General features: G+C 43.4%; 1 annotated feature.

The window, feature by feature from the left end:
* Positions 54–123: a silencer, noted in NCBI's record as "silent region_11729". NCBI's record gives its function as "represses an Ori minimal core promoter by ATAC-STARR-seq in GM12878 lymphoblastoid cells {active_cell/tissue: GM12878}" and the evidence as "EXISTENCE:reporter gene assay evidence [ECO:0000049][PMID:35858748]".

Raw genomic sequence — 12,528 nt, 5'->3', positions numbered from 1 at the left:
TTCCGGTCGGGGCCGGAGCTAGGGTTCTCAGCTTCGCAGTGGGAAGGACCTGGGGATGGGGCGGGGGGCGGGGGACGGAGGACACAGGACAGAGGAGAGTGCGTGAGCAGCGGTGCGCGATCCCGGAAGCATCACGAGGGGGAAGCCCTGTGCCCCTCCCGCGGCCCCTTTTTTTTTTTTTTGAGACGGAGTCTCGCTCTGTCGCCCAGGCTGGAGTGCAGTGGCGCGGTCTCGGCTCACCGCAAGTTCCGCCTCTCAGGTTCACGCTATTCTCCTGCCTCGGCCTCCCGAGTAGCTGGGACTACTGGCGCCCGCCACCACGCCCGGCTAATTTTTTGTATTTTTAGTAGAGACGGGGTTTCATCGTGTTAGCCAGGATGGTCTCGATCTCCTGACCTCGTGATCCGCCCTCCTCGGCCTCCCAAAGTGTTAGGATTACAGGCGTGAGCCACCGCGCCCAGCCCCGCGGCCCATTTTTTAAGGCGCTTTAGTAAACGCTTTATTGACGTTCAGCCTCGGAGTCTTCGCTGCAGGGTTGTGAGCCCCACAGAACCTCACTTTTCAGTTTAGAAAATGGACAGCAAGGTGTGAAGAAGAAAGGCCCTGCGTTCCTTTAAGATTCTTGCCTCATGTCTGCAGCATCAGAGAGCTGGAGAGCATGAGAGCCTTGCTTCTCAAACTGCGGTTAGTATGTTAGGACTTCAGAACTCACCAGATAGGTGACATCAGCTCCACTCCAAAAATTCTTTATAAAAAATTTTCAGTGGTTTTGGGGGGTATGAAAATTCTTCATATTTTTTGAGAAACACTTTTTATTAAGCGTAGGTCTATTCTAGGATAAAAGCCCGTCACCCCCATTCATTCTTTTAAGAGAAAAAAATGGCAAGAACTTCAAGGAAAAACAAAACAGCAACAACAAAAACTCCCTCTAGATATGCCCAAATGCCCCTGGATTCACATTGAGCTCTTGAGGCCCATCCCACTGAAGCAAAATTAGAGGAGGTAGACCAGAGAGGTTCGGGCAAAGGTTTAGTCCTGGGTAGGCCAGGTCACTCTGGCAGTCCCAGCTGGGCCTCCAGTGGCCCTCTGATGTTGCCTGTTCCCCCCTCTTTCTTCCTCCTATCTCTGACATCCTCCTACATTTGCGGTTTCTGCTTACTCAACTTACCTGTTCTCCAAAATTCAGCCCATACACGGTGCCCACTTGACATAGCCACACAGGTTCATGCAGCTACCATGGACTGACCCTAGTCTGGGTGGGTCTCAGATTCTGGAAAGAGAGGGAGAGACTGGTCACTGCTCAGCTAATGGGATTGGCCTTCTTGTCCCAAGCTGGGGCTGAGGACTTGTCACAGAGTTCACACAGGGGTCAGAGGGGACATTCCAAGAGAGACGGGTATAGGCCAGGCAGGGACCCCCAAAGGGTTTTCATCCCTTCTATCAGGTGTACTTAATCACTCAGAGGCCAGGGAAACTGAGGCCGATGGCAAAAATAAGATTCAGCAGCGTGTTTTACAGCACTCATGTGTGTTACAGCGTGTGTTACAGACTCAACCAGTAGAGTCTGCAAAAGGACAGATGCACCTTCCACGGACCTCTCCCACAAGCCCTCTGCCACACTTACACGGGCCTGCAGGCCTTTGTGATTCTGTGGGCAGGAGGAGTGGCCAGAAGCTCTTCTGTGAATTGTAATTTAACTCCCCAGAAAAGAGAGAAGCAAAACGCTCAGGGAACAACAGGGTTCATTAGGAATCTCTGCCTGGCACATAAAGAACAGTACAGCCGCAGAGAACAGAAACTTCTGCAAGGAAGTTTCTGGCCCATGAGGAAGAAAGAATTCTGAATCGCGAAGCAACAGTAGGGTTGTGGAGTTCTCAGAGACTTCTACATGGTATCAACATTTAGTTTTTGTAGGATTAGCAACCGCTTGTTTTTTTCTTTTCAACCTTATTGATTAGAGTGCTTAGCTGTCTATAACGTTGAAGCCAACGATCTTCCAGCCAATGCTGAAGCAGAGCCCTGGGGTCCATGCAGTGCTGTTTCTTCTGTGTGACCCAGGTAGAGCTATCTTTAGAGAGGCTTCTCCAAAGCTGTACAGGAGAATTTACCTTTGTCACCATGCACTGGATGTAGGAGTTAGGGACCAGATCCCTTGCTAAGGATTAGGTTAGGGCCTGGACTTCTGGAGAAGAAAGCAACCTGCTAAAAGTCCTCCAGCCTTTGTGCAGGGCAGAGGATAGAACTCAGGCTGCTTCTGGTATCCCAGCTGGGCAAAGACAGCAGGGCGGAAGAGAGAGAAGATGACATTCCAAATCAGGACACTATTCTCTCTGAGCGTTTTTGAACTCCTAAATTGATGATACATCATTTTGCCAGATATATGTGGTGGTGGTTTGAGGAAATGGGGTAATATTTAAGTTTAAGTACCCTGAGTCACCCTCACTTCTTGAGTTCCTGACTCAGTAACAAGAGTGCCAAATAAATAGCCCCAAATTGTCAAGCAAAACCTGACTGGCATAATTCCAACTGCCTTCTTTGCAGAAATGATCCTAAAATTCATTTAGAGGTGCAAGGAACCCAGAGTAGCCAATATAATCTGGAGGACTTACACTTCCTAATTTTAAATCCTAGTACAAATCTATGTAAATCAAGATGGCCTGGTACTGGCATAGGGATAGAAAAACAGATCAATGGGATAGAATTAAGAATCTAGAAATAAATCCATACCCATACGATCAATTGATTTTTGACAAGGATGTCAAGACTATTCAATGGGGAACGAATAATCTTAAATAAATTATAACTGGACAACTGGACATCCATACACAAATAAGTGAGTTTGGACCCCTACCTCACACCATATGCAGAAATTAGCTCAAAATGGATCAAAGACCTAAGTATAAGAACTAAAACTATAAACCTCTTAGAATTAAACATAGGTTTAAATCATCGTGACCTTGGGTGAGGCAACAGTTTCCTAAATATGACACCAAAAGCACATGCAACAAAAGAGAAAACAGATAAATTGAACTTCATCGATATTAAAACTTTTGTGCATCAAAGGACTATTAAGAAAGTGAAAAGACAACCTACAAAGTGGGAGAAAATAGTTGCAAATCATATACCTGATAAGAATCTAGTATCCAGAATATATAGAAAGCTCTTACAACTCAATAATAAAAATATCTAAGTCTTAAATGGGCAAAGAACATAAATGGACATTTCTCTGAAGAAGATAGACAAATGGCCAATAGGCACATCAAAAGATGTTTAACATCATTCATCATTAGGTAAATGCAAATCAAAACCACAGTGAGATACCGCTTGTCACGCACTAGGATGGCTTGAATCAAAAAAGATAACAAATGTCAAGGATGTGGAGAAATTGGAACCCTCATACGTTACTGGTGAGGATGTAAACTGCTGCAGCCACTTTGGAAAAACAATTTGGCAGTTCCTCAAAATGTGACCCAGCAATTCCACTCTTAAGTATATACCCAAGAGAATGGAAAACATAGGTTCATGCAAAATACAGCGTAAGAATGTTTGTAGCAGCACTATTCATAATAGCCAAAATGTGGAAACAACCCAAATGTTCATGAACTGAAAAATGGATAAACAGATGTGATCTATCCAAACCGTGGAAAATTATTCAGCCATAAAAGGAATGAAATACTGATGAACAGTATGAATGAATACATACTGACATGGATGAACCGTGAAAATATTATGCAGGTGAAACAAGCCTGACACAAAAGGCTGCATATTGTGTGGTTCTATTTATAAGTAATACCCAGAAACTTGTTCTGGGCATATAGATTTACTTAAATCTATAAAGGCTGAAAATAGATTAGTGGTTGCCAGGGGCTGGGCAAGAGAAAAATAGGGAATGACTGCTAATGATTCCATAGTTTCTTTTAGGGGTGATTAAAATTTCTGGAATTAGTGAGAATGGATGTACAAATTTGTATGAATTTACTAAAAATCATGGGATTGTACACTTTAAAGAGGTGGATTTTATGCTATGTGAATTATATTGTATTTGAAATCTACAAAAAATATAAAAACTGATTGGCTAGGAGTCGGGTTGCATTATCCAAAACAGCTGCCCAGAGAGGAAGGCTTTTAAGGCCTGCAGGGTAGACTGAGTCCTGGGAAGGAGCATGCTGCTGCCACTGGGAGAATAAAACCACCAGAGAAAGCCTGATTCAGGCATGATTTAATTCGTTAGTAAACAACTTTAGAAATCATTTCTAAAATTCAGAGAACAAAGCATCCTCTGTTGCTGGGAGCTTCTCATATGTATTAATATTATGTACTCTTTCCTACTGTTCCAAATACATTCTTCCATTGCTGAATTTATTAAATAGCAGTGAATTCTGCAGAGTTAATACAGATGAGAGATGCCTTTTAGTATTCTGATATCTAGTTTTACTCAATAGCTTTTGAGAAACCAGCAGAATACATCTGAGAAGGGGACAAACAGTTCTGTAGTTATTTTTACTTCTGGGGCTGTTCTTTCACCATCTGAGCAGTGTGTGTTTATAAGAGATGTTTGTAATAAGGACTGGGTGCTGGTTTTCCAGTCATGCCTTTTTCCTTCCCTTGGCCCATGCTAAGCATTGCTCTGTATGCCTGAAAGCATTTGTGTTAAATTCAAAGATACTTCTGTTCAAGCAGATAGGAAAGACATGTCTACCCATTTATCCCTATTGAATAGAATTAAGTAAAAGCAGAGTTTACATCCCCAAATTAGGAGTTTCAGAGGCCACTGGTACATCTGCTCATCCTTCCCTCTAGGGAGAGATTACTCATTAAAGAAATACCCTTCAAGGGAGAAGAGGAAGGCATCACTTGGTTGATCATCCTGGATTGTAAGAAATGTCTCCAAGATGGAAAAAGAGAGGAATTTAACTCTCCAGATCTCTTAGGAGTTCTATACCTTTAGGGAGATACTGTCTTCGGTTTCTAAGGCCATGGCAATCCAAACACTTCCTCTGTTCAGAAAGCCTGACCCATGAAAAACTATGAAATATTCATGGAGAATTTTCTTCCAATGTCCGGAGGCACAGCTACCTGCCACCTTGTATCATGAAGAAGAAAGCCACAAATTAATGATAAGAGAGCAGAAAGATAGAAGGGGCCTGGGACCTTGGTGGCTTCCTTGAGCAACTCAACAAGCCTTGTACTTGCTTGTCTAAACCTTATTTTCTCTTGCAAGGAGCCAAACAATATCCTAACTGCTACGTCTCTTCTATCAGAAACTGACAGGACAGAAGCGAAGCAAAAAAGAAAAAAGTGTAAGGGGCATAAACAATTGTTACAAAACTAGAGTATGAAATGAAGTGCCCGTGTCATCTTCAATGCAACATGCCCTACACAGAACTCTGCATTCTCCCTGCTACCCTTTCCCCACTCTGTAAGCAGCACTGCCATTGGCTCAGCTGCTGAGGCCCCCAAGCAGGCCTTCTTGATTTTTCCCTTTCCCGTATCACCCATATTCAATCAGTCAGCAGGCCCCATGGGTTCTACCCCCAGAATGTATGGTCCACTTCCCACCACCACCACCTCCACCTCCTACCCACTACTACACCCTACTATCTCTGCCCTTCCACCTCACAGTCCATTCTCCCAGCAGCAGAACTGGTCCCAGCACACCAGTGATTAAAGCCTCCACAATTCGCATCGCCATTCCACCATTCATCTCTGAGCCCGTGTGTCCCTGAGTGATTTCTCTAGTCTCACCTTGAAACTCTCCAACCGTCACCCACTGTGATGCTCGAGTAGTATTTAGCTTTCTTCCTTTCTAACACAAGCCAAGCTTTTTCACATCTTTGGGCACTGCTGTTCCTTGTAATTAAATGCTGTTCCCTAGGGTCTTCCATGACGGGCTCTTTCTCACGACTGAGGCATCGGCATTAACATCACCTTCTCAATGAACATTTCCTGATCATTCTCCCTTCCCTGTTTCTCTCTATGATATCGCCATTCTTTCTTTCCTTATTCCACTTACTGCAGCCTGAAGTTGCCTTCCTTATATTTTGTTTTGTTTATTGCCCACCTCCAGCCCAACTCCTGCTGGAACATCAACTGCTTGAGATCAGAAGCCTGCCCCGTTCACCACTGTGCCTACAGCCCTTGGGCCACATACTTGAACTCTTAATAAGTGTTGGTTTTGATAGGTGTGATGGCCACCTCTCTTTTCTAGGAGTGAGATAATAGTTTTAAAACTTCAGAGTGGCCTTAGAGCACCCGAAGAGCCCATCTGCCCATAGTCACTCTATCGTGCTGCCGATTTATTGCCCTCATACCACTATTGCTATCAGATTCATGTGCTTGTTAGTTTTTTCCCCCTTTCTATTCTAATGGAAGCTCTGTGAGAGTGGGAACTTATTTTTTGTATTCAACACTCTCCTCAGCACCTAGAACAGTAACTAGCAACACTCAGTGCATGCTTGTTGAATGAATGAATAAAACACGTACAAAACAACATTGACTTGCATAAACTTCCAGCCACCTGAATATCACTAATAGCACAGAGCCAGCCTGCAAAAGTGGATTTGATACCAACATGAAATTCCGCAACCGGTGGCCATGATAAACACTCCTGGAAAACAATTGTCAGCAAGGACATTGCAAGCTTCAGAAAGGGGGCACACTTCTGCAGTTGGATACATTGAAAACTAGAAAATCTTTGTAGATTGAAGCGGTCTCACATGCAGAAAGGGAACCTGCAGACTGCATAAGTTCCTTTTCTACTGGGCAAGCCAAGCAACCATTTCCTGGGACCCAAATCTCAGTGTAGACCCTATTCTGAAAAAGTCTGCTGTCTCCCTTTAATAGCATTAAATCAGTGGTTCTCACACTCCAGGATGTAAGAAGAAACATCTAGGCCTGTTTTTCTCAAACTTTAATAGGCAAAGGCAACACCTGAGAATTTTGTTACATGTGGATTCTGATTCACTAGACCTGGCATAGAGCCTGAGATTCTGCATTTCTTTTTTTCTTTTCTTTTTCCTTTTTTTTGAGATGGAGTCTCACTCTGTTGCCGAGGATGGAATGCAGTGGCACCATGTTGGCTCACTGCAACCTCCATCTCCTGTGTTCAAGCAATTCTCCTGCCTCCGCCTCCCGAGCAGCTGGGATTACAGGCGCCCATCACCACGCCTGGCTAGTTTTTATATTTTTAGTAGAGATGGGGTTTCACCATGTTGGCCAGGCTGGTGTTGAACTCCCGATCTCAGGTGATCCACCGCCTTGGCCTCCCAAAGTGCTGGGATTACAGGAATGAGCCACCGCACCTGGCCAGATTCTGCATTTCTAAAAGTTCCCAGGGACTCATGCTGCTGGTCTGAGGATCACACTTTGTGTAGCAAGTACCTAGGAAGCTTATTTAAAATGCTGATTCGTGAGCTCAACCTTGAGATTCTGATTTACATGATCAGTGAGAGGGACCCCAGAGTCTTTATTTTTAACAAGTGCCCCAGGTGATTCTGATCCAGTGGTCTGTGGATGTATTTAGAGAACTTATGCATTTGTTTGTCATAATGAAGAGTAATGAGCTAACAAGCTGCCTTGAATAAAGGTGGCTAAAGAAATAGCTAATGGATTGCGGGCATGGTAGAGAAGGAGCCCTTTATACAGGTACTTTCTTACGGATGATGAGGAAGAGTGATGTCAATATGATGTTTGCAGTACGATGTTTGCAGTACAGTGTTTGCAAACAGCCTTTGTTCAGATACCTAAAAATTTCCAACACAGAAGCTCATGAATGTGCTAGTGAAGTCATGAGTTCTTTGGTCTCACTCTGTTGCCCAGGCTGGAGTGCAGTGGCACAATCTTGGCTCACTGCAAGCTCCGCCTCCCGGGTTCACGCCATTCTCCTGCCTCAGCCTCCTGAGTAGCTGGGACTACAGGCGCCCACCACGACGCCTGGCTAATTTTTTTGTATTTTTAGTTGAGACAGGTTTTCACCGTGTTGGCCAGGATGGTCTCAATCTCCTGACCTCGTGATCTGCCCATCTCAGCCTCCCAAAGTGCTGGGATTACAGGTGTGAGCCACTGTGCCCAGGCAAGTCATGAGTTCTTAATACAGAATTTGGCATTGTTCATAACAACGGGCCGGGATTGATATTTCAGGAAATAACCAGAGCTACAGCACATGTGTTTTTGGAAAGCTGATTTTCACAGGCAGTTAGAAGTGTAGGATTAAAGTCTAACTTAATCCCCTACACTCTACCCTTTGCTCGCTCTGCTCAAGCCACATGGCACCTGACTATTCCTCCACGTGACAAACACATCGCCACCTCACATCTTTGCATTCACTTGCCCTTCTGCCTGGATCGGGCTTCCCCTAGAGATCTTCTCTCTTAATGCAGCCAGGTTTCTGCTCAAAGTTCTCCTGTTTAGAAAGGATTTCCCTAAGCACTTTGTCTAAAACAACCCTCTTTGTTTAGCACTTTGTCTAAAACAATCCTCGGGCTTAATTCTTCTGCATAGGCTTATCACTACCAGACACTGGAGAAAGTCACTGGTTTCCTTTCACCATAAAATAGGGCAAGGTCAGCATAGAATTTATTACTTCAGGTGACTGGAAAACTTTAGGTGAACTTCAAGTCGACACAGGTACTATACAGGACATCTGGATGACATAGTTCTGGGTCATGAAGAACAAGCCTGAGACTACAAGAGGCCGAGACTCATTGGAAGACAACACGTGAGTCAGGCAAGACAGCCATAGATCAAGCCCAGGCTGGAAGTAGATGTTGACTGCCTAGAACAGCATCAGCAAACTATGATCCATGGGCCAAATCCTGCCCACTGCCTGATTTGTAAATAAAGTTATACTGGAACCATTTGAGTATCGCCTATGGCTGCTTTTGTACTCCAACAGTACAGTATTGTATAGTGGCAACATAGACCGTGTAGGCCGCAAAGTCTAAAGTGTTTACTGTCTGGCCCTTTACAGAAAAAATTCGCTGGGTTCTGGTCTAGAAGCTCTCTCCTTGGTACAATTACTGTCTGAGAAGTGAAGATGGGCAGCGTTTATTCGAACACTGTTGGGGAGACTCAGAACTTGTGGACTCTATATCTCTCACAATGTGAGACTCCGCGAGACAAAGTTTGGTATTTATTTGTCAAAGGAAGGGGAAAGGAAGGAAGGCACTGGAGACCCAGGAAACAATCCAAGACACAAAGGGATACAGAGGCAAAAGGAACAGTTGAAAACACAGACAACATTGCCAATTAAACCACAGTACTCAGCTGAGCTTGCCTGAGTGCAGAAGGAGCAGGGACACTAGAAGTGTGTCCTGGGCCGTGGGAGGGGCGTGTTTCTGCAGGTGCAGAGATGGGGTGAATTACTCAGGGCCTGGGGAAGGAAACACAAGGAAGACACATTAAGCCCCTGAGGGCAGACCTTAGGAACATCACAGCATCTTCAGGAATCAGAGGTGAATCTCTAACTGTGGGCCCTCATACTCCCACACTAGTCAGGTATTGGATACGGCCGCCCCAGGAGGAGCGCTGGCCTTAGGCGAGCTGTTTCTTCAGCTGACACAATTTGCAACGAAGGTTACAGCTGAGGACCTTCTGCCAGCAGTTCCCAGCAGCTGGGGAAGAAGCTCTCTCTTCCTGCAGGAGCCTCTAGGCAAAGCTTTGCAGCATCTGCCACGTCTACAAAATGATTTAAGAGAAGCAGATGTCGCATTCTTTTGGAACTGACATTATTAAAGTAATGGACATTTACTCTGTCATTCACTCATTTTTATTCCATAAATTGTATAATTATATATATATATATATGTATAATGTGTAATTTTGTATATATTATTTATATGCCAGGCGCTAGGCATATAAAAGAAAGCGTGAAACAAGACCTCTGCCCTCCAGAAGCCCATAGTCTGGAGAGCAGGAGAGGGACAGACAGAGGGACATACATAGCCCAGCTGAGAAGTGCTCTAAGGGAAGCAAGCACAGGCCCTGGCACATCACAGAGAGTAGAGGGGCCTGTGAGAGACTCAATGAAGCCTTCTCGGAGGAGGTGACCTCTGAACTAGCCTCGGTGACTTTGTTTGCAGTCATAGGTGGAACTGAAGAGAGTTTCTGTTTACCCACCTGCACCAGGCAGAAAGTTGGCTGATGCGGTGTTTGACAGCCTTCTTTCCTACATGGTACTGGCACCCTGAGATTAAACTTTCTGGTTCCTTGTTCCAGCAAAAAACCCGAGCTGGTTACACTCACTGCCACTAGATGGCAGTACTTGGTCAAAAGTGCTTGAAACCAGGGTTTTATTACATACCAGCCCTACGTCTGGTTTTGGTTTGGAGGGAGGAGGAAATCCTTAGGAGTGGCAATAGAATTGTATGGATTACAAAGAAAATTTTCTTTAATTCGTTAAATTGCATAAGTCATATATATTCATGTGCCAAAAGAGTTTAAAAATCAAGCAAATATTGGCTGGGCACGGTGGCTCACACCGGTAGTCCCAGCACTTTGGGAGACTGAGGCAGGCAGATCCCTTGAGGCCAGGAGTTTGAGACCAGCCTCGGCAAGATGGTGAAACTCTGTCTCTACATCAAATACAAAAATTAGCCTGGCATGGCACCATGGTTCTGTAGTCCCAGCTACTCAGGAGACTGTGACCCAGGTGGTTGAGGCTGCAGTGAGCTGTGATCACACTACTGCACTCCAGCCTGGGCAACAGAGTGTGACCCTGTCTCAAAAAAAAAAAGGAAAATCAAGAAAATACTAAGGTGTTATAGGCTGCTATAGCCAAAGCAGATTGGAAACTATTGCTAGAAAAAAAGAAGAAAAAGGAGGAGGAGGAGGAGGAAGAGGAGGAGGAGAAGAAACAATAAATGTTTTTCCAGAAAATTATCAGCATTGGAATTTTTTCTATGAGAATTATCTTTCCTTACTATGTCTCTGCTACCTGTTGGTTAACTACCAATTGTGTACCCACATTAGTGATGTTATATTTAATTTGTTTTCCTTGATCTCCAAGTAGCAGTGACTTTAGCCCTTTTTCCTGTTCCCTCGGCTTCTCTGTTAAGTAGATGATGATCGGAAAGCAGCAATTGTCTAAAATGTTTGTAACATATTAGAATCAGAAGATAGGTTGGGCCTTCCCCTACATTTTACAGATGGAACAAATAGAGTTGAGGCTCATCTTCAAGGTCACCCGACTCCTTTTCCAGTACAGGCCTACCTTGGAGATATTGCAGTTTTGGTTCTAGACCACCACAATAAAGTGAAATCAGCAAGTCATATAAATTTTTTTTGTTTCCAGGTACATATAAAAGCTATGTTGACACTATCCTGTAGTCTATTAAGTGTGCAATAGCATTACGTCTAAAAAGCAATGTACCTACCTTAATTTAAAAATACTTAATTGCTAATGTACACAAATCAGTAGCTCTCTTATACACCAACAGGAACCAAGCTGAGAATCAAATCAAGAACTCAACCCCTTTTACAATAGCTACAAAAAAAAAAAATACTTAGGAATATACCTAACCAAGGAAGTAAAAGACCTCTACAAGGAAAACAACGAAACACTGCTGAAAGAAATCATAGATGACGCGAGCAAATGGAAACACATCCCATGCTCATGGATGGGTAGAATCAATATTGTGAAAATGACTATATTGCCAAAAAGAGTCTACAAATTCAATGCAATTCCCATCAAAATACCAATATCATTCTTCACAGAACTGGAAAAAACAATCCTAAAATTCATATGGAACATAAAAAGAACCCTCATAGCCAAAGCAAGACTAAGCAAAAAGAACAAATCTGGAGGCATCACATTACCTGATTTCAAACTAGATTATAAGGTCATAGTTACCAAAACAGCATGGTACTGGTATAAAAATAGGCACATAGAACAATGGAACAGAATAGAAAACCCAGAAATAAACCCAAATACTTACAGCCAACTGATCTTCGACAGAGCAGACAAAAACATAAAGTGGGGAAAGGACACCCTTTTCAACAAATGGTGCTGGGATAATTGGCTAGCCACATGTAGGAGAATGAAACTGGTCCTCATCTCTCACCTTATATAAAAATCAACTCAAGATAGATCAAAGACTTAAATCTAAGACCTGAAATTATAAAAATTCTAGAAGATAACATTGGAAAAACCCTTCTAGACATTGGCTTAGGCAAGGATTTCATGACCAAGAACCCAAAAACAAACGCAATAAAAACAGATAAATAGCTGGAACTTAATTAAACTAAAGAGCTTTTGCACAGCAAAAGGAACAGTCAGCAGAGTAAACAGACAACCCACAGAATGGGAGAAAATCTTCACAATATATACATCTGATAAAGGACTAATATCCAGAATCTACAACTCAAACAAATTAACAAGGAGAAAAAAAAATTCCAACAAAAAGTGGTCATGGCTAAGGACATGAATAGAAAATTCTCAAAAGAAGATATACAAACGGCCAACAAACATATGAAAAATTGCTCCACATCACTAATCATCAGGGAAGTGCAAATCAAAACCACAATGCAATA

Source organism: Homo sapiens, chromosome 2 (genome assembly GCF_000001405.40).
Source record: "Homo sapiens chromosome 2, GRCh38.p14 Primary Assembly".
Taxonomy (NCBI): domain Eukaryota; kingdom Metazoa; phylum Chordata; class Mammalia; order Primates; family Hominidae; genus Homo; species Homo sapiens.
The sequence above is the reverse complement of the archived record's forward strand: the minus strand, read 5'-3'. Positions and strand labels throughout refer to the sequence as shown.